The following is a 24635-nucleotide window of genomic DNA, read 5'->3' as shown; positions in this document are numbered from 1 at the left end:
AGTGCTGGTGAAGAATTAGATTAACTAGAACTCTCGTATACATCTTGTGGGGATGCAAAATGGTAGTTGTTTTAGAAACAGTTTTGCAGGTTCTTATAAAATTAAATATATACTTACCACATGACTCAACAGTCCAACTTGTAAAAATGAAATCTTTTATTTACACAAAACTCTATACATGCATGTTTATAGCAACTTTAGTTATAATCTCCAAAAACTAGAAGCAATGCAAATATACTTAAACTGGTGATTCATAAACTGTGGTGTATCCATTCGGTGGCATTCTCAAAAATACCAAACATATGGTATATTTTGCCAATCATTTATAAATATACATATATGTGTGTGTATGTGTCTGTGTGTGTGTGTATGCATGTTGATCCATGCAACCACATGGATGAATCTTAACTCAAATGCATTATGCTAAGTGATAGAATCTGTGGGCAAATTGATACAACTTGTTTGATTCCATTTATATGACATTCTATAGCCATTTATATGAAAAAAGCAAAACTACAGGGATAGTGAGTAGATCAGTAGTGGCTAGAGGTCAAGAGTGGCAGAAGGGTTTGACAACAAAAGGGCAGCATGAGTGGATTTTTGGAGGGAAATGAACTGTTCTGTTTCTTGATTGTGCCAGTGGTTACATGACTACATTTGTCAAAACTTGAAACTATACATTAAAAATAGTAAATATTATTATTATTATATTATACAAAATAAAAAAGTAAATGTAAAGAAATGCAAGGAACTCAAAAGTAAAAGAGTGTCAACGTGTTATGTGGGTGAACTTCTTTTTTACCTTCACTTCCCAATTTTTTTTCTGTGATATAATTTAAAATATTTATTTAAGTAACAGTTAAGTAATAATTATAGTAACTTCTCAGTATCCATAATGGATGGGTTCTGGGACCCCCATGGGCACCAAAATTTACAGATGCTAAAGTTCATGATATAAGATGGTGTAATATTTGCAAATAACCTACACACATCCCTCTTGTTTACTTTAAATCATCTCTAGGTTACTTATAATACCTAATAGAATGTAAATGCTATGTAAATAGTTGTTATACTGTCTTGTTTATGAAATAATGACAAGGAAAAACATCTGTACATTTTCCATACAGATGCAACTTTTTGTGAATATTTTTGGACTACAGTTGGTTGAATCCATGGTTGTGGAACCCACAGCTACAGAGGGATGACTGTATCATATATAAAGGAAAGAGTTCTACCATAACACTGTGTTTAATTAGCAGAGTCACTGGTTATTTGGTCTTCCTCATAAATTAACATTGCATTTGTCTTTGCAAAGTTAAGTGTTACCTGCAATTGGATCTATATGGCTGCAAACCAACCAATTAAAAAAATAGTTAACAAATTAGATGCTTTCTCTATACCACATCCATCTGTTTAATTGCTACATTTAATAAAATATAAACTTTCTCTATATGCTCCTTCTTTACCTCAAGCTATTTGCCTCCCTCTCTTGCCTGCTACCGCTACAGCTACGTTCACACCTTTGACACTTACAGTAAGACACTTCCAACCTGGCAAATTCCTGCACATTGTTCAAAATGTGGCTTTGATATTTTCTTTCCTAGAATCTGTCTGATTCATTTGCCCAATCTTTCTTCTAAAGATGTCTTCTCTTTGCCTCCTTATCAGAGTTCACATTAAACTCACCATATTTTATTAAAACACTCCTTGCAGTTGACTTTATTCACTACCTAGATTATAAGTTCCTTAAAGCAGCTTGTCTAATACATCTTACACCCTCAATTATTAGACAAAAGCCTGGTACACGGTAGCTACTTGACACATTTTTATTGTCCCTATATGATACGTTTTATTGCCTGTACTGAATAAACTTATTATTTTAAGTGTATCCTACATATATTTTTAGTTTTATGGCCAATACTTTTCTTAGGAAATTATTTTTAAAATGAAAAGAAAATCCCTCATTGTTATATGTTAAGGTGGTTGGCCTATGTTTTATTTGAGTTGGATAGATTCTTAGAGCCACATGCCTTGCTTGGTTCATTCGTTCATTAGAATGGGCCACGTCCTGACAGCTGAGGGAAAGTACGTTGTAATAAACCTTCAATGATGCTCATAACCTGGCTGCTTTCTAAGATTGTGTTAGTTACTTTATTTTACTGAATTGATAAAGATTAAACTTTCATAGAAATGAATAGATTAAATACTATACAGATAATTTGTAGGGATGATATTATGCCACTTCATAGGTAATATACCAAGTCGTATAGCCTCCCAAAGTACATAAGCTCATAAGCTCATAAAAGCAAAAGGTGAGAAAGCTGTCATCCAATCCCATTATTTTATTTGTAAAATAAACATACCCATACTTTATCCAGCTAGTTAGGAGCAGAACCATGGTCAAAACTTTTAGTGACTGAAACATATGTAACTTAGTAATTTGTTTGAATTTTGAAAACAGAACACTGGGGAGAAATCAGAATGGATTAATGTGCAATATGGGCTCTCTGCATTTTTCAAAAACAAAGAATAAAAACTTTAATAAAGTACAGTGATTTACTAAAGTAAATTTAAGTTTTCTAAAGTACTGAAGGTGAAAAGTTTGAGAAAAGATAAGGTGATTCCCAATACATAAATTATACCCTACAAAGATTTTTATCATAGAAACTAGGTCAATCCTATTCAGAAGGGCAAAGATAAAGCTAATATTTGCCAGGACCTGCCCACCACACCACCCCTCCATCCCCGCATAGTAGACAAAGAGGAGTCCGGTTACTAGAATTTTCAGTTTCTGACATATCAACAAGACAAAGTATTCATATATAAATTTTTTAAAAATGACCAACTTCTATCTTTGAGTCTTACTATTCCATGACATTAGTTGTCAACAAGGATGACTTACAAGCTGGTTAGCAGTACATATTTTCCAAGACAGGTGGCTAAGAAACCGCAGCGTGAACCAGCTCCACTCTGTGCTCATCCCACAGAAACATCCACTCAGTGTGACACTTGCATTTGACCCATAAGCAGAGAGTTTCACCTGATACAGGGTGACCCCATTACAAATAAATACCTGTCTTTTCCATCCCAAGCTTCCTTGGTTAAGTAACACAGCTTCCATTAAAGACATTACAGGAGGACTCAATCACTTGTCCAAAGGGGATAATGAATTGAAAAGTACAGTGGGGATAAAGGTGGCATTTCCATGGATAACAAGAGACACATCAGGCTCATTTCAAAAGAGTAGAAGTGACAAAGCCAGTCCCTATTGACCACCAATTACTTCTAACAAAAATAGCAACCATGCTTCACAGAGAGACATTCTGCATCCAACTAGGTCTCACCTAAGCCCTACTGCATGTCTTCCAAGTTCCACCATCTTTGCCTCAGCCCCAGTGCATGTCTCCCAAGCACCAGTGCCGTTGAGTCTTCTGCCCATCAGAACTCTTGCAGAAGCAGTGAATATCCAAGCTTAAGTGGCTCATATCCCTTTGATTAAAAGATTCAAACATATTTTTCTGTCACTGTCTCTTTGTGCAAGAAATACTCTTCTGGCTTTCTTTTTTTACAGAAATTGGATTAAACAGCATGCTTTGCAAACAACAGATAGGAATGCTAATTAAAGGACAGACCTCACAATCACACAAAAAGCAGCTCTGCACCAAAGTCTTTTTATTTCATTTCAAATGTGATGCCTGTGATTTAGAAAGACGGAGCTTATGTGAACTCTATTTACTAAAGATAGAACACCAGCAAATAGACTTAGCAAAGAAGGTAAAGCCACAAATTTAAACAACAATTTCCTTACATTTCTATTATGATTAGTAATATTTGATCAGTATGAGTGAAAGCTAACGTCTTGATTACAGATGCCAACAAAAGAGGTGTTAGAAAAGCCTAGGTTCCTTCTGAGAAAGGCAAAAATATAATGTTAAAATGTGATCTGACTGCTGAAATTTAAATATACTTTTTATTGTTACTCACTGGGACAAAGAATTTGATTAAAAAGTCTTAATTTTTAAAAGCACAAACACAATAGAAACATTAATATAGTACAATCCCTATTATTTTTCTTCTAATTTGGACCACAATTATTCATTCAACATGTTGATATTGAGTGTATAAAGCCCTATGTTTTGTACTGAGAATACAAAGGTGAAGAAGTCATGGTTTCCACTCCCCAAGTATCACACTCTAGGGAGGATGAATGATGTTTGAACAGATGGTTACAAAGCAAGGTAATAAAGGCAACAATAGTTAAATGCACGAAGTATTCTGAGTATCTTCCATAGTCTAGGAAAGATGTGAGTTGCTAAGGCTGCAGGGGAGGGAGGAGCACTGATCAGGGTAAATCCTTGTAAAGGAAAAAGAGGAGGTTAACTATATTTAATATGAACAGGGCAAGAAATTGAGGCATTGTGTCAGTGTTCCAAGTAATTTGTCATTACTTGAGGATACAGAATTAAAGGGCATTGCAGGAGCTGATGCTAGGATTGTGCACATCAGCTAGATTAGGAAGGTCCCGGCACACAATGCCAAGAAAATTAGGCTCTGTTCTCTAGGTCTGGAAGCTAACAGAGACTCTAGCTGAAAGTTCATGTGTGCAGTGTGAAGAATCCCAGGTATTTCTGTCATGCTCTCCTGGTTCAGAACCATATATTAATTCCTTCAACAAATAATTGTCATGTGCTCACCTTAGGTCAGGCAGTGTTCTGGGTACCAGGGATCTGATATTGAATAGTTAAAGTCAGCCTCCTTGTAGAGTAATTGATGGTTAACAATTTGAAGATTTTAGGTGAGATTTTAAAACTTTCTGGCTGTTATGTGAAGAATGGGACCAAGACTAGGTATAGGAAGACAAGTTAGGAGGCTCTTAAAGTAATCTGAGAGGCTCTAAAGATTGACAGTGATAATACTGGACAAAGGAGATGAATTATAAAAATATTTAGGAGTAAAGTAAATGGGACGTGATTATTGGAGGTAAGATGAATGGAGTTGGAGGAGGTGAGGAAAGAAAACGTTAAGAATAAATTCCAAGATTTTAATTTAGGTTATTGAGTGAATGTTGGCCCCACAAACCAAGATAGATAATAAATCAAAAGTATTCAATCTTTACCAATGACCATAAACAAAAGGCATGGGAAAAATATATATAGCATTACATGTAGGATTAGATGTACCTACATTACATGTAGAATTAAGATAAGGATGGACATACAGCTGTTGATTTATGGTGTGCAAGAAAACAATAAAATATTTGATGATGTATCAATAGAATTTCAGAAACAGGACTTTTTTTCACATAAAAATGTATTATCACATTAGCAGAGGATTTAATTTAAATATTTCAGAAATTCCAAAATTTTGAATATACATCAGTCACCACTTCATTTCTGTTGGTAATTGCTCATATTGACACCAGCGTGAACTAACCATGGCTCAGGTAGAAAACAATGCAACTGACACTATATTTTCCTCTGCCAACAACTCAGGAGGGAAGGAATCCACAAATTAGGTTGACACATGGTGTCTAGAAAGAATTAATTCCCACTCGATTCTGGGCAGCCTTACAAGCTGGGTTCCATCCATAAAGACTGATGGGAACTCTGGGGTTTGGTTTATATGGTGATATTTTCTGTTGCCATCAACAACCGGACATAAGAATACTGATCACTGAAGAACATTTCTTTTGTTTTTGCTGCTATATTATATCAAGACACTTGGGAATTGTTCCACACTTGGAAGTTGTTCTTAACCTGCATTCAATAGTTTTTCTGTATTTGTCATGTTGATATCTTCTGGCAGGAACACTGAGACATTTATTGTAAAAGCTTTATCAGGGGACAAAAATATTTTGGATATGCCAAATCAAATTAGAGTGCACTTGAACAGTCATCATCCATCTTTTATCCATGATTAGCATTCATTATGCAGTATCAGAAGGATTTACATTAGAATTAATAGACATCATGGAAAAAAATATTTTTAAATGTTTCCTGCTGAAACCAGGACTACTTAAGGAGCAGTTATTCAGCATAACTGGGTTAATTATGACCGTAGTACTCTCCCAAATATTTCTAACACCTATTGGCTGGCATTCAAATTAGTGTTAGACAAAAATGGTAAAGTAGGCCACATTTTATCTTTTGGATCCCCTTGTTTTCAATTTACTCTCATTTATTCAAAATTTATTTATTAAGTGCCCATTACACACTAGACACTATTCCAAGCAAAAAGTCCTACCCTCACAGAGATTACCCTCGATCCTCTTTCAGTTCTTCTAATTTCCAGCCCTCAGTGTGTTCTTTCGCTCTGGTTTTCCTAAAAGTATAAAATTCTTACGCTTAGAGTCATGTTATGTGTCTTTGACAAAAACATAGAAGTGATTCTGTATTCTTATTGCACCCTACTTGGTGGTGCACAGTGTCAATTTGTCCTATTACTGAGAATGTTCATTTTAGTCAAGTGATTAATGATGTGTCTGCTAGGTATCCTTACTGTAAATATAGCTTTATTTTTCTTTTTAATTAATACATATTTTCTGGGGTGGCACTTTGAAATTTTATACATTTATTGTTCTTCATCAAAATTTTAATGTATTCAGCTATCTGTTTTTATACATATGTGCTTGTGGATTCCAATTTTATCTTACGCTTTGTAATCTATATGACCATTCTTTAATTTTATGATAAAATTTTCCTGGTTTGGCCAGTGGGAGCCCTTTCAAGTGGACTTCTGAGTCTTTTTGGCATGTGTCCATAATTTTAGCAGAACCACAATTACTCCAGCCTCATCTTTTACTTTCTTGGCCTCAGCCCTAGGAATCAACCATTTCTCCAAGAACATCTTTTCTTTTGAGTAGCAAATGGAATTAAGAAACCAATATTTGGGTGCTAGCTGCTATTGGGTTATCTCTTCTCACAGATCCTCCCATAATATATATGGATATTTTCATCTGTATTGATTTCTATATGTATCAAAATACATTGAAAACCATGAGATCTCATCAATAATTCAACATCCAATCCAACACCACAGAGAAGGAAAGGAAGGAAAATAGAAAGAAAGGAAAGGGAATAGGTAGGGTAAAGAAGGAGAGTGAAAGGAAGGGAAGAGAAGGGGGAAAAAAAGGAAAGGGGAAGAGAAGAAAAAGGAAAGGAGAAGTGGAATTCAATGAAGTTTAGAATATCCTTTTAGAAAAGCTTAGAGGAAAAGCAGGAATTCACATTCACAACCATAAATGAAGGCACAGAGAAAGTTTTTGAAAGAGAAATGAGTGAGAAGGGTAGAAGTTTTACTGATTCTTTTTTTTTTTTCAGATAGCAGATACTCTGAGCTTTTTAGAGCTGTTAACAATGATCATGTCTCTATGACATGGTTGATCTGGATGGAAGACAACTAATATGGTACTTTTGCCTTTTGAAAATGTATGTGGTTGTTGTTAGATCACCAAAATAATACTGGAGGAATAATTGTTTTTCAGTAACAGTAATCTTTCCCTCTCCAGTTTTGTTTTTGGCTCTATTATAGCATTTGAATCAAATTATGAACACGTACTAATGCCTTGTATGTTATAGGCTAGAAATTGGGGATACAAACATGAGTAAAAACTATATTCAAGAAGTTTACAGATGAATAGAGAAGAGACATAACAGTAAATAGACCACTGTGATTTAACTGTAATTGGATGTTAGCTGTTCTGACAGAGTACTTCCCATGTGTAAAGTAGTGTGCTTTAAACTTCCCTGGCACATTGGTCCCAGTTTATGTGCATCCCCAGATCCATACCACTCTGCCTGTTCCCCACCTCAGTAATGTCCATTGCTTCTTGGTCAGAGGGGACCTCTCAAAATCTCGCTTCATTCACGTGGCCATAAAATCCTGCCTGCTGCCCTGCCATAGGCCCGGTAGCCCTCACTTGTCGTGCCAACTGGTAAAAGGAGACCATTCTACCCTTGTGGTGGTCAGACTAAACCCACAGAGGTTACAGCTTCCCCATTAGTTGCTAGACAAAATAACTTAACCTTTACTTGTGGGGGAGTAAGTGACTTGACCGATGGAAGACAGGAGTGTAGAAGGAGCCACAGAAAAATTGCTCATCTATCTTGTCCTGACTCAGTGATTTATGACAGATCAGTTTTCCCTCACATGACTGAACAACTGGCTTTGTTGTATTGCAACACTGTGCTTACTTCTGTAACGCGCCACCTTGTGAATATGTTCTCTCCTTACCTGCCTCGTTCCTCTTTTCTTCTTCATTTGACTTCACCCTTGCCTCTCTAGGATTTTACCTTCAAATAATAAATTCACACAAAAACGTTTGCATCACTTATATATTCCAGGAAACACAGGCTAAGAGAAGTTGCATTAACTCAACTCTCATCACAATCTTCTGCACTTGGCATAAACTATTAATGTCACCTCTTAGGCTCATATTTTTTGACTTCAGGGTTCATGTGCATGACCAGTAGACTGTATCATGATGGATCTAGAGACACATAACTCAGCCTAGAATGAACGGTCAGAGGAGTTAGTGCCCAAGCTGAGCTTTGAAAGACTGTAGGAATTTGGCTGGTGAAGGGAAAGAAGCATTACAGATATAAACAAAGGTAAAGAAGTAATACAAACCAAAAATATATCTGTATTGTTGGAGAAGGAAAGAAGCACTGGAAATAATGATAATAGATGTTAGTAAGGGGGAAAAGTAGATAAAATAGTAGCTGAAATGGGATTTAGAGTTTGAGCATAATTAAAAACTAGTAAGAAGAACCAAGTTAGGTGAGGGAAGTAGAATATATAAGAAAAGGGCAGGATAATCAACAGTGTGTGTTTCCTGAAAAGGAAGAACAGATGAAATTCATGGAACAGGTGCAGAATTTGGCATCATGTAGGGATTAAATAAAAAGGACAGTCAATGTCAAGGGAAAAACTTTTAAATTCTCTCTTGAGACTTGTCCATGTTTGTAGTCTGCTGAAAAGAAGCCCAGAGAAAAAGAGAATAGAGAGGAGATGAGACGGATTATTATCTAGAAGCTATCAGGATAACACTTAATTTTCTGAGACTGGAGGAAAGAGTTAAGTTGTAAATAAGCTAGCAGGAGAGAGGAGTATAATAAAGTTAAAAGACACACTGCTCCCAATGTTCTTTTTGGTTTTCATCTAAAATTAGAGAGGTAATCTGTTAATAATGGAGGATTGCCATTTGACAGCTGGTAGACAGTAGTGGGGAACGTTTAGACTGCTTGAAGAGAGGAAAGAGAGAAGGAGTTGTCCAAGTAAAACAAATGACTTGGTCAAGTGGCATTTGGGAAGCAGTGGAGATTTAGAACATAAATCAACACTGAGTGTCATTGAGACACATAGCTTTGCATTATTTTTTCTCAGCAATACTTACTACCACTGCTGTAGGAATGATTAAAGTTGGTAAATTGCTGACCGGTACAGGATTGGGCTTTTGCTGGTGAGTGGAGCAGAAGAGTATTAGAGTATATTTTCTAGCTAAAAGCTCTTTTATGATCTATACAGCCATATGGCAACTTCCTCTTTGACATATTCCACAAATTAAATGTGATTCAACATGAGGACAGAATTAAAAACAAAAACCATATGATCTCCTCAATAGTACAGAAAAAGCTTTTGAGAAAATTCAACATCTCTTTATATTAAAAACCCTCAACAAACTAGGCACTGATGGATCACACCTAAAATAATAAGAGCCATCTGTGACAAATTCACAAACAACATCATACTGAAGGGGCATACACTGGAAGCACAGTTCTTGAGAACTGGAACAAGGAGAGGATGCCCACTCTTACCACTCTTGTTCAACATGGTACTGGAAGTGCTAGCTAGAGGAACCAGGCAAGAGAAAAAAAAAAAAAAAAAAAAAAAAGACATCCAAATAGGAAAAGAAGAAGTCAAACTATCTGTCCTTGTGTACAATATGATTCTATATCTTGAAAACCCTACGGACTTCACCAAAGCGCCCCTGGAACTGATAAATGACTTCAATAAGATTTCAGAATATAAAAATCAATGTACAAAAATTAGTTACATTTCTATACACCAATAATATCCTTACTGAGAGCCAAATTAAGAATGTAATCCCATTTAAAATGGCCAGAAAAAAAATAAAATATCTAGAAACTCCTCTAGCCTAGAAGGGGGAAAAAAAGACCTCTACAAGGAGAACTACTAAACACTGCTAAAAGAAATCATGGACGACACAAACAAATGGAAAAACATTAAAAGCTCATGGATTTAATAGTAATTGGCCACACTGCCCAAGCAATCTATAGACTCAATGCTATTTCTATCAAACTGCCAAGATCATTTTTCACATAACCCGCAAAAAAACTATTCTAAAATTCATATGTAACCAAAAAGGAGCTGGAATTGCCAAAGCAATCCTAAGCAAAAATAACAAATATGGAGGTTTCTTATTATCTGACTTAAAAATATATTATAAGACTCCAATAACCAAAACAGCACAATACTGGTGTAAGAACAGACACATAGGCCAATGGAACAGAAAAGGTAATCCACAAATAAAGCCACACTCTGACAGCCATCTAATCTTTGACAAAGTCAACAAAAATAAGCAATGTTGTTAGGACTTCCTACTCAGTAAATGGTGCTGTGATAGCTTACTAGCCATATGCAGAAGAATGAAACTCGACCATACCTTTCAGCATATACAAAAATTAACCAAGATGGATTAAAGATTTAAATATAAGACCTCAAACTATAAGAATCCTAGAAGAAAACCATGAAACACCATCCTAGACATGGGCGTTAGGAAAGAATTTACGACTAAGTCCTCAAAAGCAATTGCAATAAAAACAAACATTGACAAGTGAGACCCTAATTAAACTAAACAGCTTCCATCCAGCAAAATAAACTATCAACGAAGTAAACAGACAGTCCACAGAATAAGAGAAAAATATTCAAAAACTCTGCATTCAGCAAAGGTCTAATATCCAGGATCTTAAGGAACTTCAACAGCTCAGAAGCAAAACAAAAAAACAACAAAAACAAAAAAACAAAAAAAAAAGTCCCATTTAAAAGAGGGCAAAGGACAAGAACAGATACTTCTCAAAAAAGACATACAAGTGGCCAAAAAACATGAAAAAAATGCTCCAACTCACTAATCATCAGAGAAATGCAAATCAAAACCACAATGAGATACTCTCTCATACCAGTCAGAATGGGTATTATAAAAAAGACAAAAAAATAGCAGATGCTGGCAAGGCTGTAGAGAAAAGGAAACACTTATAAATTGTTAGTGGGAATGTAAATTAGTTCAGCCACTGTGGAAAAATGTTTGGAGATTTCTCAAAAAACTTGAAATAGAACTACCATTCGACCCACCAATCCCATTACTGCATATATATTTAAAAGAAAATAAATCACTCTAATAAAAAGACACATGCACTTGCATGTTCATTACAGCACTGCTCACAATACTCAAGTCATGGACTCAACCTAGGTGACCATCAGTGTTGAATTAGATAATGTAACAGATATACACCATGGAATATTATGCAGCTACAAAAAAGAACAAAATCATGTTCTTTGCAGAAACATGGATGCAGCTGGGGGACATCATCCTAAGTGAATTAATGCAGGAACAGAAAATGAAATACTTCATGTTTTCACTTACAAGTGGGAGCTAAACACTGGGTATTCATGGACATAAAAATGGCAACAATAGGCTCTGGGGACTACTGGGGGGCAGGAAAGAGGACAAGTGTTGAAAACTAAGTGTTGGGTACTATGCTCAGGACCTGGGTGAAGGATCATTTGTTCCCAAACCTCAGCATAATGCGATATACTCAGGTAACAAACCTGCACATGTACCCCCTGAATCTAAAATAAAAGTTGAAAGAGAAAATAAATACATATATAAATAAATGTTTGTTGAATGCTGTAATACCATGCTGAGATCATAATGGGATTAAAGACATAGGCAACCTAGAAACCTAGGATTTTATGGTTAAAACATTGAACATTGGTATGAAATGATTTAGTTAGAATTGTTCCAAATCATGACAAGATTGAAGGTATGGCTGTGAAGGTAGATAGCTATGGTGGATAAAGTTGAAGGTTGTCAGAGTAAAACAGATTTAAAAAAAAAATTTCTAAAGTCAATATGTTTGTGGATTATTCAAGAAAATACTTATAATTAAAGTCCTTAGGTTAGAAAGAAGTACAAATACTGGGGTCAAATTCTTTGATTAGTATGGGGGAATTGTAGATGACTGAAGCAGGGAGATGTAAAAACTACATAGTAAGATACCAAGGACTCCAAATGAAAATGAGCTGTTACGAAAGATAAAAAGCAAAATGACTGAGAAATGATTAAGTACTGAAAAGACTGTTGAGTACCTATCAACTCACTCACTCTGGGAGGATCCAGCTCTCCAGGATGATGGTAAGATGTCCTTGACTTCAAAGTAGAGCACCTGGAGAATAAGTTCCACCTCTGTCCTGTCCTGGGCTCATGATTTTTTGGTGCCCCTTCAAGTAGCACTGCAGAGAAGATGGGAAGAAAACTGAGATGTATACCTGCATGATTTGTATTTGGTATATCTGACCAGAGTCCTTATGAGGAGCAATGAGTTATCAATACACAGTGAATATTCCTTTCTTTTTCAATGTGAATGCTCTAGTTGATCCCTTTGATACAAATTACATTCTTACCCCTCTCTGAACTCATTCTTGTCTGTAGCACAAATTTCTCAAAGTCTTCCACAGATTTTGTCCAAAGCGGAGCTAGCCACTTGAGGCTGACCATAATTTACACCATCAGTTGCATATAGTTTGTTCTTATAAAATTCTAGTGCCATAAAATGGGATATTTTAAGCAAGGACAAATAAAGTCTTAGGAGTAATTCTTTTTACAGAAACATTTAAATCTACCTAGCTGGAAAATTATGATACTATTGGCTATCTTAATTCTTCTGAATAAAAGAATGTAAACCATCCCACTATCCTGCTTGTTTTCTCTCTTTATTTTCTCTCTCTTCCTCCTCAAAGCTGCTGATCTTCAATCCATAATTTGACTCTTGTTTTTATGAGATAATCTCTATATCTTACACTTCCTATATAAGATATTCCCTCTCTGGTCAATGTTTGCTATTCCATAGTGTTCACTAACTATGCCTCATTTATCAATCTGTCTTCAGTGTGTATATTTACTGGATTGTGAGCTTTTCACATCAGAGCATATTATACATTGTGGTAAATTAATAGTATTAATAATTTTACTTAAGGCCCACCCTGAGTGCACACCTTGTGGTTTAATAGTTCATCCCACCTGAGCACAAGGACTGGCCATGTGACTTGCTTTGGCCAGCAAGATGTCAGCAAATGGAACAACTGCAGAGGCTTTAAAAATGTATGTGTATTTCTACTTGTTCTCCTAACAATTGAGCTTGCTCATTCTTATACCTGTCTCTTCATGAGCACATGTGAAGAAGAGTTGAGGCTATTCTAGACTAGTCATCAGCCACTGATCCCTAAATACATGAGAGCTCAGTCAAAATGAACGCAATGGCTTTCCCAGCACTCAGCTATTGGTCAGCACATACAGAGCATAGCTGAAACTACAGGAACTTTCCTGCTGATCTGTAGCCTTGTGAATAATAATAATCTGGTTATTGTGATGGCCCAGCACGGTGGCTCACACCTGTAATCCTAGCACTTTGGGAGGCTGAAGTGGGTAGATCACCTGAGGTCAAAAGTTCAAGACCAGCCTGGGCAACATGGTAAAACCCTGTCTCTACTAAAAATACTTAGCCGGGTGCAGTGGCACATGCCTGTAATCCCAGCTACTCAGGAGGCTGAGGAAGGAGAATCGCTTGAGCCCAGGAGGTGGAGGTTGCAGTGAGCCAAGATTGCTCCATTGCACTCCAGCCTGGGCGACACAGCAAGACTCTATCACGAAAAAAAAAGGAATAAATAATAATAATAATAATCTGGTTATTGTTTTAAGCCACTGAGGTTTGGAATAAAGTGTAATGTAGCATTGTTGTGTCGTATTGAATTGAACACTTAACTAATTACACATTTTCTGCAAAATTTAGTATTCCATAGGCATTGTTTTATTTAAAGATGAGTAAATAAACCACGGTCAGGTTTCAAGGTAAGTTAGATGTATGTGAATGAGACCACCATAATAGTATCTCATCGCTGACTCATTACATAACCAGAGACTACAATCCATTGCCAGAAAATGAGCTTTTCCAGAGCATAATCAATGCATTTTTTTGTATACCCAGTACCTAGGAGAGTGTCCGGTATATTCACAATATCATAGGCACTTAGTCAATAAGTGAATGAATAAAAAGACAAATTAATTAATTCTAGTCAGTTAGTTTAAAAATTGAGTACAAAATTTATTTAATGAATGAGGGAATGAGGATTCAACATTGCTACACAGGAAGTTCTTTGTTTATTACAGTTGCTCCCTGAAATATGATTAAGGAGTGGAAAACAATCCAATTAAACTAAGCCTACAAATAAAGAAATATATAGGAATAAAGGAGAGATGGGCAATCCTGAAGAATGGAACATATTTTATAATGCAAGCATCCCAGAGAAAAGAAGAGTTAGGAAGGAAAAACATTCTATTTTGCTAAAACAGCTTCCTCAGAACTTCTCATGCAATGTTTTCAAAGTGAGTGTGCATAAAGTCTACCAATGACTTCTTATTTCTGTAACTTGGGCAACATTGCTTTAGAATGAGATGTACATAGTTGTATTTCTTGTGATTTCAACCAAAACTAATTTTGTTGTTAGTGTCTTTTAAAAATAAATGCAAAAGCTTGCCTTTCCTTTTTCAGATTCCAAATAATAGCAGGATTTTAACAGTTATTCTTGGAGACCAAGTAATGTTGATACATTACTATGCAGATAGCTCCATGTTGCAGCAGTGATGTTTTGTGCTTGGATGATAATAACTGTCAAAATGCAAGGGGTTAGTGAACAGGACCCATGGGGAATGGCAGGATGACACTCTATGCAAGACATTTTGCTAATAGGTCTGAGAGCAATTACTGTAAGGTTTATGATCACAACACTTAACCCTCTCACTCTCAAATTGTGGGAAGCTTAGCCAGCAAACTGCTTGAGGAAATTTTTGACACTATATAATGTTTTATCAGTAAAGTCTATTGAGGGAGCATGCTATGAAGACTGCTAAATATGTCTGTATATCAGAAACATCAACTTGGTCTATAACATAGCTGCTGTACAGGAAATGAGCAAATCAGAGAAGATAGGGGTCTTTTTAATTTACTAGATCCTGAGCTAGCTTATTCTGGTTACTTGCATTTATAACTTTAAGTTCAGCTGATCAGTTACTCTTTTCTCGTTTTGATTAACTGCTCCTTCACATCAGCGTTAAGATCTCTTCGTGTCATACTTGAGTGTTGTTATGACATTTTGCTAGTTCCTGTTTCGTTTGAAGAAAATGTAACCACATGAGTTGTGTTTACGGAAGATACCATGGGCCCTTTACCCATCATTCAATATTCTTTCCAAAATATTCTAAATCTGCTTTCTGCCTTTCTGTCAAACAATAAGATACCTTGGCTTCTCAACCCCATCATTTTTTGTATACACCAACACATGTTCTGTTATTTATTTGCTCTTCATCTGCTATGAATAAAAAGGATCAAGTTATCTTCAGATTAAACCATAACTATGAGTGTGGGGGTCATAAACAAATGTGATTATTAAAAGGAAGCTTTATAATTTAGAGATCTGGCAAGAGGGTGACAATATGGTAGAGGTTAAATGTGACATTAAGTCACTAAGTGATTTGGAGATAGGCTCTGAGCCCATAGCATTCAGATGTAATACGTTTCTAATTCCAATCAGCATGCCTTGCAGAGATTGACAATTTAAGTTGAAAAATTCACAAAAATTATCTTCAAGTTTGATAATTATGTATAATATAGGCATTTTTATAAGTAGCTACTATGAGGTCCTTCTAAAAAATTTATGTTTGGATAAGTGAGAATATAGTTTTTTCCCTAAAATCTCATACAATAAACTTGGCATTCTTTTCTGCAATACTTATACTGCATCAATTTGCAAAATAGAAGGACAATTGCCAATAATAATAAGCTTCATTTTTAATGTTTATTAAAGAAAGTCATTTGACGTACCTATCCAATCAGTTCATAAGAACCTCATCGAAGGCTTTTTGATACATGTGTACATTTGTAGTCATTATACATATATAAGTACACTTATTATAATAAATTTCTAGCCTTAAGCAGTAAACTTTTGTTGAGAAATGAGCAGCTTTTTAGAGTTTACACAAAGGCACTGTTTAGTCCAGCAATAAGGGTGACATTTTCTTAGATATGATTTTTAACCCCAAAATGTGAAGTCTCCAGAAGGAGTTGATACTAAATGACTTTGCCTTCCTGGATAGAGCTATTTGGCTCAGTGGAGGACACGTGCTCATGCCGGGCTGATCAGAATCACTCTCCTCATCCATTCCTACTTGAAATCAAAAGCTACAAGGTGGTTACTTTTTCCCTTGTGATGAAGTCAAAGAAGCTAATCTCATGAAGACAAGAATCATAAACCGATGAAGAGAGGAATAGGGAAAAGAAGGGGAGGAGGCATAGTATCTAACAGTTGGTTGGCTTCATTTTCAATGGTTTTCCACCTCCCAGCTCCAGGCACTTCTGAAGTCTGGCTATCTTTTGTTGCCATGGATTTTAGGAGATATGTACACATTATTTTAATGAAACAACTCCCTCCCATTTAAGAAAATCAACTTAGATTGAGCAGAGAATAGTAGCCTTATCAAGAGAAAAATTATGATATCTGAGATGGAAAAGAACAGGGTGTGATGAAAACCTACAGAAAAGACCTCAGACTCAAATTTGGGGAATGTGGTTATTTTCTTGGAGACAGTACCAACCATGGGGGTAGAGAGATGGAGTGAGCCAGAAGAATAACAGAATGGACTCCAGAAAGAAAAAACAGTGTCATGAAGGCCATGGATGAGAAAGATCAAGGGGAGTTGAGGGAAGGGAAGTGGTTTAGGCTGGTGAAAGATGAAGCTGGACAATAAAACAAAGTTTAGATTTTAAGATGACTTAATAAACTGTCATGAAGAGTTTGGACATGATCCTGAGAGCAAAGGACAACACCATAGGCAGGGGTCAGCCACTTAAGATATTTGTAGACTTGTGGTATTCATTATTTTTTATCCAAATAGCATGGGAAGAACAGGTGGGAATTTTAGGGAGAAATAGATACATCTAGTTAGAATTACTATAGAAATGTAGGAACTAAGTGATGAGGAAAAGCAGAAAAGGATAAAAGAAGATTACGTGGTTATGAGAGATATTAGTAGATAGCAGACAAATTGGATATGAAGGGTTAGTGATAGGGAAGGATTTTGGAGGAGAGCTGGCAGTATAAAATTTACCATATTATCAAGCAAAACTAGTGTCTTAGTTTATTTGATGTTGCTATAAAGGAATACCTGAGGCTGGGTAACTTAAAAGAGGTTTATTTGGCTCACAGTTCTGAAGGCTGTACAGAGCATGGTGCCAGCATCTGCTTCTGGTGAGGGCTTCAAGATGTTTCCACACATGGTATAAGACGAAGCAGAGCCAATATGTGCAGAGATCACATGGAGAGAGAGGAAGCAAGAGAGGCAGGGGAAATGCCAGGCTCTTTTTAACAACCAGGTCTCATGGGAACTAATAAAGTGAGAATTTATTCCCCACCTCCTCACTGCAAGAGGGCATTAATCTATTTATCAGGGACCCCCCTCCACAAACCAAACACCTCCCACTAGGCCACATCTCCAACATTAGAGATCACATTTCAACACGAGATTTGGAGAGGAAAAACATCCAAACTATAGAAAACAGTGTGAGATTAAAAGATAAGACCAAAGGACCCAAATCACTATAGAACCTATTCTGTCTGAGAGCACCTGGCTAGTCCCAAAAACTATCCAAGGGGTGAGGTGATCTCTCGTCTAATATAGGGAGTTGTTAACATTCAGAAGCTGTGTTTTTTGTTTTTTAACAAAAGCACCCTAGTTTGAATTCACTTACAAGGCACTATGCTAGGCATTGGAGGATGTATTGGAAGATATATAGAAGACAAGTCGGAAAACAAGGTATGAAAAGTAACTACCTTCATGGAGCTTATAGACTACTAGGAGAGACAGCCATTGAACAAGTAATTTAAAAAATTATTTATAGTTTGGGAACTGTACAACAGGTAGTTCTGACTAAACTGTATGTGTTTGAGAAACCTTGAGGAAGTAGTGCTTAGGTGGTGTTATGAACCAAACAGGGTTCCCCTTCCAAATTTATATATTGAAGCCCTAATCCCCAATGTGATTTCACCAGAAGATAGGGTCTTTAAGGAGATAATTAAGGCTAAATTAGGTCACAAGATTGGAACCCTCATCCGATAGGACTGGTGTCTTCATAAGAAGAGGAAGAGACATCAGGAGAGTGTGCACATACGGGAAAGACCATGTGAGGAAACAGAGAGAAGGCAGCATCTGCAAGCCAGAAAGAGAGGCCTCACCAGAAACCAATCCCACTGGCATCTTGATCTTGGACTTTCTGCATCCAGCACTGTGAGAAAAAAAAAAAAAATGTTATTTAAGCAGATCAGTCTGTGGTATTCTTTTATGGTGGCCCAGGAGGTCTAAGATGGATGGCATTCTGAGGGACGAGTAAGAATACACTTGTCACATGGGGGCAGCGGGGGAAGGAGTATATCCTGCCAAGGGAAGAGCATGTGCCTGAGGTGAGAGGCCTTGAGGGTGTTGCAGCGACTGAGCGATGTGTGTGGGAGCAAGGAGTGAAGCAGCAGGATCAGAATGGCAGCCTTGGAGCCCAGGTATGTTGATTACTTTGCTTTTTATCTAAAAAGTATTGGAAAACCCACTGAAAAGTTTAAATTAAGGGAGTAACATAAACAGATTTTCTACGAAAAAAATGTAATCTTGGCTTCAGTCCAGAGAACGGGTTGGAAGAAGCCAAGACTCAATGCAGGAGGTGAGGTCAGAGGCCGGTGTAGAAATTCAGGAGTGACAATTGTGGTGGCAGTGCAGGGCAGGGGAGTAGATGGACTCTAGAGTTGCTTAGGAGGGGCCATTGACTTGTTTTGTGATTGGCGACATATTTTGGGATGAGCAGACAGGTGTTCAGAATGGCTTTTGGTTTGGGGGCCTGCTTACCTCAGTGGATGGCACTGTGACTTACTTAGGGAACCATAGAGGAAAATACTTTTAATGGGGAATATTCTCATTCTTGTGACAGGTGAAACCAAGAGTCTGGTGGGTCTGGGAACTATGTTTAGGAGCCACTGATTTTTGCATAACAGGAAACTACTGGCTGCAGATGTAGTAAACAAGATTCATCTGCTGAGAGCCAGGCAGCACTCCAGGTTCAGAAAGGGAGCAGCCTCCAAAGCAGGAGATCTTCTGTTACAGACACTGGTCAACATGGGAGTGTGCACTATGATAGGAAGAATTCGGTGCCCTGGGATCACCCTTCATCCAGATACCAAGTCTCTGGTAGCAAGATTCACTTCACCTTCAATCAGGCTGAGGTGTTGATATTCTTTATACCCTAAGCAGGACTCACTCAGCATCTACACCAAGAGAAGGTATGGGTAATGGGTGATTCCTCCTCCCTGAGCCTGCTCTCTCAACTTCCAAATGAATGGAAGTCCCACTCCTCTCTTGTAATTATTGGCCAGGAAGCAATAGTCAGGCAGCTGATGTATTTACATATGTCTGCATAAATTCTTATTTAACAAATGTTTATGCAGTGCATATGCTTGTAACTTATTTTTTCCTCACAAGAATCTGATGAGGTACATAATATTATTATCATCATTATACAGAAAAGGAAACTGAGTCATAGAGAAAGCTGTGACTCTTGCTAACAAACTCTAGGTATTAAGAAGCATAGAGCTAGGATTTGTTTTCGGAATGTTGGTCTATTCTTACCATACCTACTACAATATTAATTGATTTTTTCCCTTTAATGTGTTTAATTAACTGGAATAACATTGACAATTTATGTTATGGAAGACTCAGATGTAAAAAGGCCTGTATCTAGTCCCTTTTGGTTCAAATGAGCTCCCAGAATTGGGCCCCAAGTAGGTTCCATTATCAATCCCCACATTTTAGCAGGTCCTTCTTAGGTTTTGAAAAAAAAAAAAAAAAAATGTCACATGCCCTTTTAGAGGAATCCCAAGAATAAACCATGGTAAATACAGTTGGTGCCAGACAGCCTACGCTAGAAACTGATTGTGTCTGCTTCGGCAGAGAACACAGACAGCCCTGGCAGAAAAGAAGTACAAGCTGTCCTCCTGTCGCCCCGGCAATGCATCCCAATTTCCACTACCTGCTGTTCCCACCTTCCTTTAGAAGGAGACAGAGAACTCTTGTAAATCTTCTGCTGGGTTTGTCAAGTCAGGTTACAGAATAAAGCAGAAAACTCCCTTGCACTCCAGACTGCTTTGCAGCTCAGTTGTAGCTGCAGTGTGTGTGTGTGTTTCACACCAAGATGTGTCTCTTAAAGAAAGGCTACGGCGAGGTACCATGAACTGTTAGTGGAGAGAAGGGCTAGGGCACCAACCATCCACACAACTATTACCCTTAGGGGATGTTAGCTTTCGGGCTGCTATTTTTAAAAGTAAAGTTAAAAAAGAAACTTAAAATATAAGAAAGTACACAGTTATAATTTGCTCAAAGAGAATAATAGAAGGATAAAATTATAAAAATCAAATAAAGAAAAAATAAAAACAAACAAAATAAATAATATAGATAGCATAAAGGTAAAAGAACTGTTAGACAAAATAAATCTAAAGCTTAATACAAGCAGCATGAGACGCATGGGTGAGGGCAGTTACAGAGAAATAAGGTATTCTGTACTTCCTCCCTTTACCACAAAAAGCACCTAAACCTGGTGCTTTAGGCCTTGAGGCATGAGACCCTTGGAAGGATTGCCTCAGTAGAAAGTCTCAGGCTAAAGCACTAGAATCTAGCACCCCTGCGTAATTCAGACATGTCTTCATACCCAAGGTTTTGAAGGAGGTCTAATCAACACCCAGCTGCCATGGGGCCCCTAGTATCCAGCAGTACAGTAAATACTGATAAAAACCAAATGATCAAGCAGAAATGTCCATTGCCCTCACCTCCATCTGCCTAGAGTTTGCCTTAATTCCACTACTATTGAAGAACATATGGTTTCCCTCTCAATATTCACTTAGATTTTCAGTAAGAAGGTTTAAAGCCACCTATCCTATCTCACAGACATCAAATTTAGCAATACTATTGTTGGTATTACTGATAATAACTGTGGCATTTGTTGCATGGTATTTGATTCTGTGTGTGGCGGGGGGCTGTATTTTGAACATATTTTTTGTCTCTTTTTTTTATTAAATGGCACTGATTTAGGTAACTATGTAGGTAGATTATATTAGCGGCCCTGAGTCTTCACCATTCCCTGTATGAAAGCCCTTTGCCATGTGTATTATTCAGGCTTTGATTTAAATATTAATCTCATCTAGAAACAAGCTCACAGATATACCCCGAATAACGTTTTACCAAATGTCTGGGCACCACATGGCCCAGTCAAGTTGACATATAAAATTAACTAGCCATGTGAGTTTGAAGTTACTCCCACAAAAAATATAAACTCTTTCTTCACCCTTTAACTTAGATTTGGCTATGTGACTTGCTTTAATCATTGAATGTTAGCTGGCATGTCATAACCTAAGGCTTTAAAAGCACTTTCATGTTTCTACCCGTCCTCTTGCATCTCTACTATCACTGTGAGATAACATGTCTGGGATAGCCTGCTGGTCCCAAGGGGAAAATGAGTGACTCATGAAGCAGAACTGAGTTGCCCCAGTTGAACCCAGTCCAAATCAGCCAATTCCAGCTAACCCATAGCCACATTAACTAAACAAAGCCTTATGATTATAAGACTCTGAGAATTTGTTGGTTTCATTATGCAACGTTATTGTGCTCCTAGTTAACCATTGCAGCATCCTTTTTTTAGGCCTTTTTAAAAATCTCTTCTATATGTTTAGTTGTTGTAAATTTTCTTATGATATCCAGTTCTTTCATCTGATTTTTATAACAATACCTGAAATTATTGATAGCACAGATGTTTTACATAGGTTTAATAGCAACCTCATCAATGGTATAATGCTCACTTTCAGTACTGAAAGTTATGTAGGACAAGTTAAACAAAGCCAGCCCTCTGTAAGTGTATAATATAAGGGAGCATATACTTTTATGCAAAGACCTAATGTCTGTAACACAGAGATGTAATCCTGTCAGCCTCCTGTTCAATACCCTTTGATGTGTCTCCACCAGCTTGCAGAATAAAATCCAGAATTCTTAGTCCAGTAGTCAGCCCTATGCCATTTCATCCAAACTCCTCTTTTTGTCTTGAGTAACCTATATGTTGAAAAGAATTAATGAAATACAATTATAAAAGTAACTTACTTTTTAATCTTTCACCATCCCGTTAAACCTGTTTCGTATGTGTACTCCTTCCCCTGCTCCTAGATGCAAACTTAGACAACTTCACAACCTTTTTCTTCCTGTTGGATTTTTTCTTTCTTTTACTCCTTTTAAGTTATATGCATAATCTAAATTCTGTGACTAAATTTTCCAGTAAAACAGATGAATCAAAGCTCAAAAGCTAATGTAAAGTCAAATCTCTTTTCTTTACCTATGCTGGATGCTGTGAGAAACTACTGCTTGCTGTAGAAAAGAGAGATCTTCCTTTTTGTTCATTCATTTCCTCCTTCACTAGTCAACTGCTGTTTCTGACCATGCCAAGGTGGAACCTGGAGTAGGAAGGAGAGAGAGAGGGTAAGGGAAGTCTCATTGACTGACGCTAAAATAAGATGGCTTCACATTTTCTGGTCCTGGCCAATGTTTACTATTTCTTACTCATATTAAACCTCTCTGAATGCATTTAACCATGGGAGCAAGTCCTCTCCCCGAGGTGCGTCCCCCAGATTTCTTTCAGTTCCCAGTGGTCCCACATAATCTCTCACAGCTGGAGGTTCACTCAGTATGTAAGACTACCATCTTGGGTACAATCCCTTTCAAAGCAACTAACCCACTTTAGTTTCCATGGCCAGTCCTTCAAATCTGCATATATCTGACTAGCTATAAGTGGAGCTGTAACTCCCATTTTGCTGCAAAGACCACGGGGCCAGAGTTCGGTTGCAGTCTGACATATCCCTGATGACAGGATACACACATTAAAACCTCTGAGTGGCCCCCCATTGAAATTCTCACTAAATTGATGTGAAGAAGTAATAATGGAAGAGGGAGAGATCCACCAATGCAGGTTTCTCTCAAGAAATCCTTCTATCTAATTTTCCCACTTTTATTTTTCAATGCTTTTGCAATTTGATACACTGAGAAGTTCAAAAGAGTCAGCTAACTGGTTTTCAGCCAAATCCTTGGAAATGTTTCATCTGGTTCAGCATTCTATTGTATATGAACACCTCAGTCAAAACTTCCAATTTGTCACCTGTTTCACTTGTTTCTTAGTATTTCTCATGTGCCTTATTGTTCACTTTTACATGATTCTTGTGGTTCTCCAAACTTTTAAGCATTCATTCCCTCTTATGAGAGTGTTGTTCTTTTATCTGCCCTTATTGCATAAGACTAAACTCTAGTCTTCTTTCAAAGATTCACATACTTGTTTTCTCTTTGATCTTCTGGTCAAAATCAATATTTCCTTCCATGTTTTCAGGACATGTTGCATCTTTGTTACAGCTCTTAATAAAGCATAGTTTATATTCGAGTTCTCAACCACCATATTTCATGAATTCTAGGATAAATAGATTTTCACACTAAAACATATTTGAAATTGACATGCATCTTTCAGTGAATACAGTGATACCTTATAATTACTTGGCAGCATTTTGTTTTGTTTTTCTTCTACTCTGTGTTACATGAAATAATGGTGCCTCTCACAACTGATGGCACCTTAGTAGTTTGCGAATCCCTTAAATTTCAAACTTTGCCTCATTACATTGTGTATATTGCCCAGCAATGAATACAGCGCCTTGCATAAACTAGAAGCTAAAAATTTAAATGTTGAACAAAATGCGTGTTCTATATAGTGCTGGTATACTGTGATTTTCTTTAGTGTCCAAAACATTCCCTATTACAATTTCACTCAAATTAAAGAGGCTTTGATGGGACAGTCACTACCTAAAAAGTAACATTTATTAGTCTATGTGTTGTGATTGGAGCTTTAATGTCATCAGGAAGAAGTTCAATTTGACTTCATTTTCACTCCATTAAAAACCTTGTAACAATGTTCATAAATTAGACCTCCAGAGTCGTAAAAGTATATGTCATAGTTCCAATCTGCACAATTTAGACCACATTGGATATTTAGCATAATTTTAGATTTGGAAATCTCTACCATTTATACACATTAATGTTTCTCATGATTTTAATGAGGGCACACAAATATATAAATTGTATAATTTTGGCCTATCCTGTTGTCAATGACATTCATAAACCAGGGACACGTTGCAGCAATTAGAGTTCATTTGTTTGCTTAAAATGAACACTT

General features: G+C 36.9%; 1 long non-coding RNA gene across 2 annotated transcripts in view; it reads right to left on the bottom strand.

The window, feature by feature from the left end:
- LOC107986294 (uncharacterized) overlaps positions 1-24635 on the bottom strand; it is a 61322-nt gene that overhangs the window by 4117 nt on the left and 32570 nt on the right. For both annotated transcript variants that reach the window (XR_007058155.1, XR_007058156.1), the window contains exons 3-6: positions 22761-22878; positions 22379-22483; positions 18583-18632; positions 12400-12531 (exon numbers count right to left, since the gene is read on the bottom strand). This is a non-coding gene — a long non-coding RNA (uncharacterized LOC107986294). The remainder of the gene's footprint in view (positions 1-12399; positions 12532-18582; positions 18633-22378; positions 22484-22760; positions 22879-24635) is intronic.

The sequence above is a fragment of the Homo sapiens genome, chromosome 4, assembly GCF_000001405.40.
Source record: "Homo sapiens chromosome 4, GRCh38.p14 Primary Assembly".
NCBI classification, from domain to species: Eukaryota; Metazoa; Chordata; class Mammalia; order Primates; family Hominidae; genus Homo; species Homo sapiens.
The sequence above is the reverse complement of the archived record's forward strand: the minus strand, read 5'-3'. Positions and strand labels throughout refer to the sequence as shown.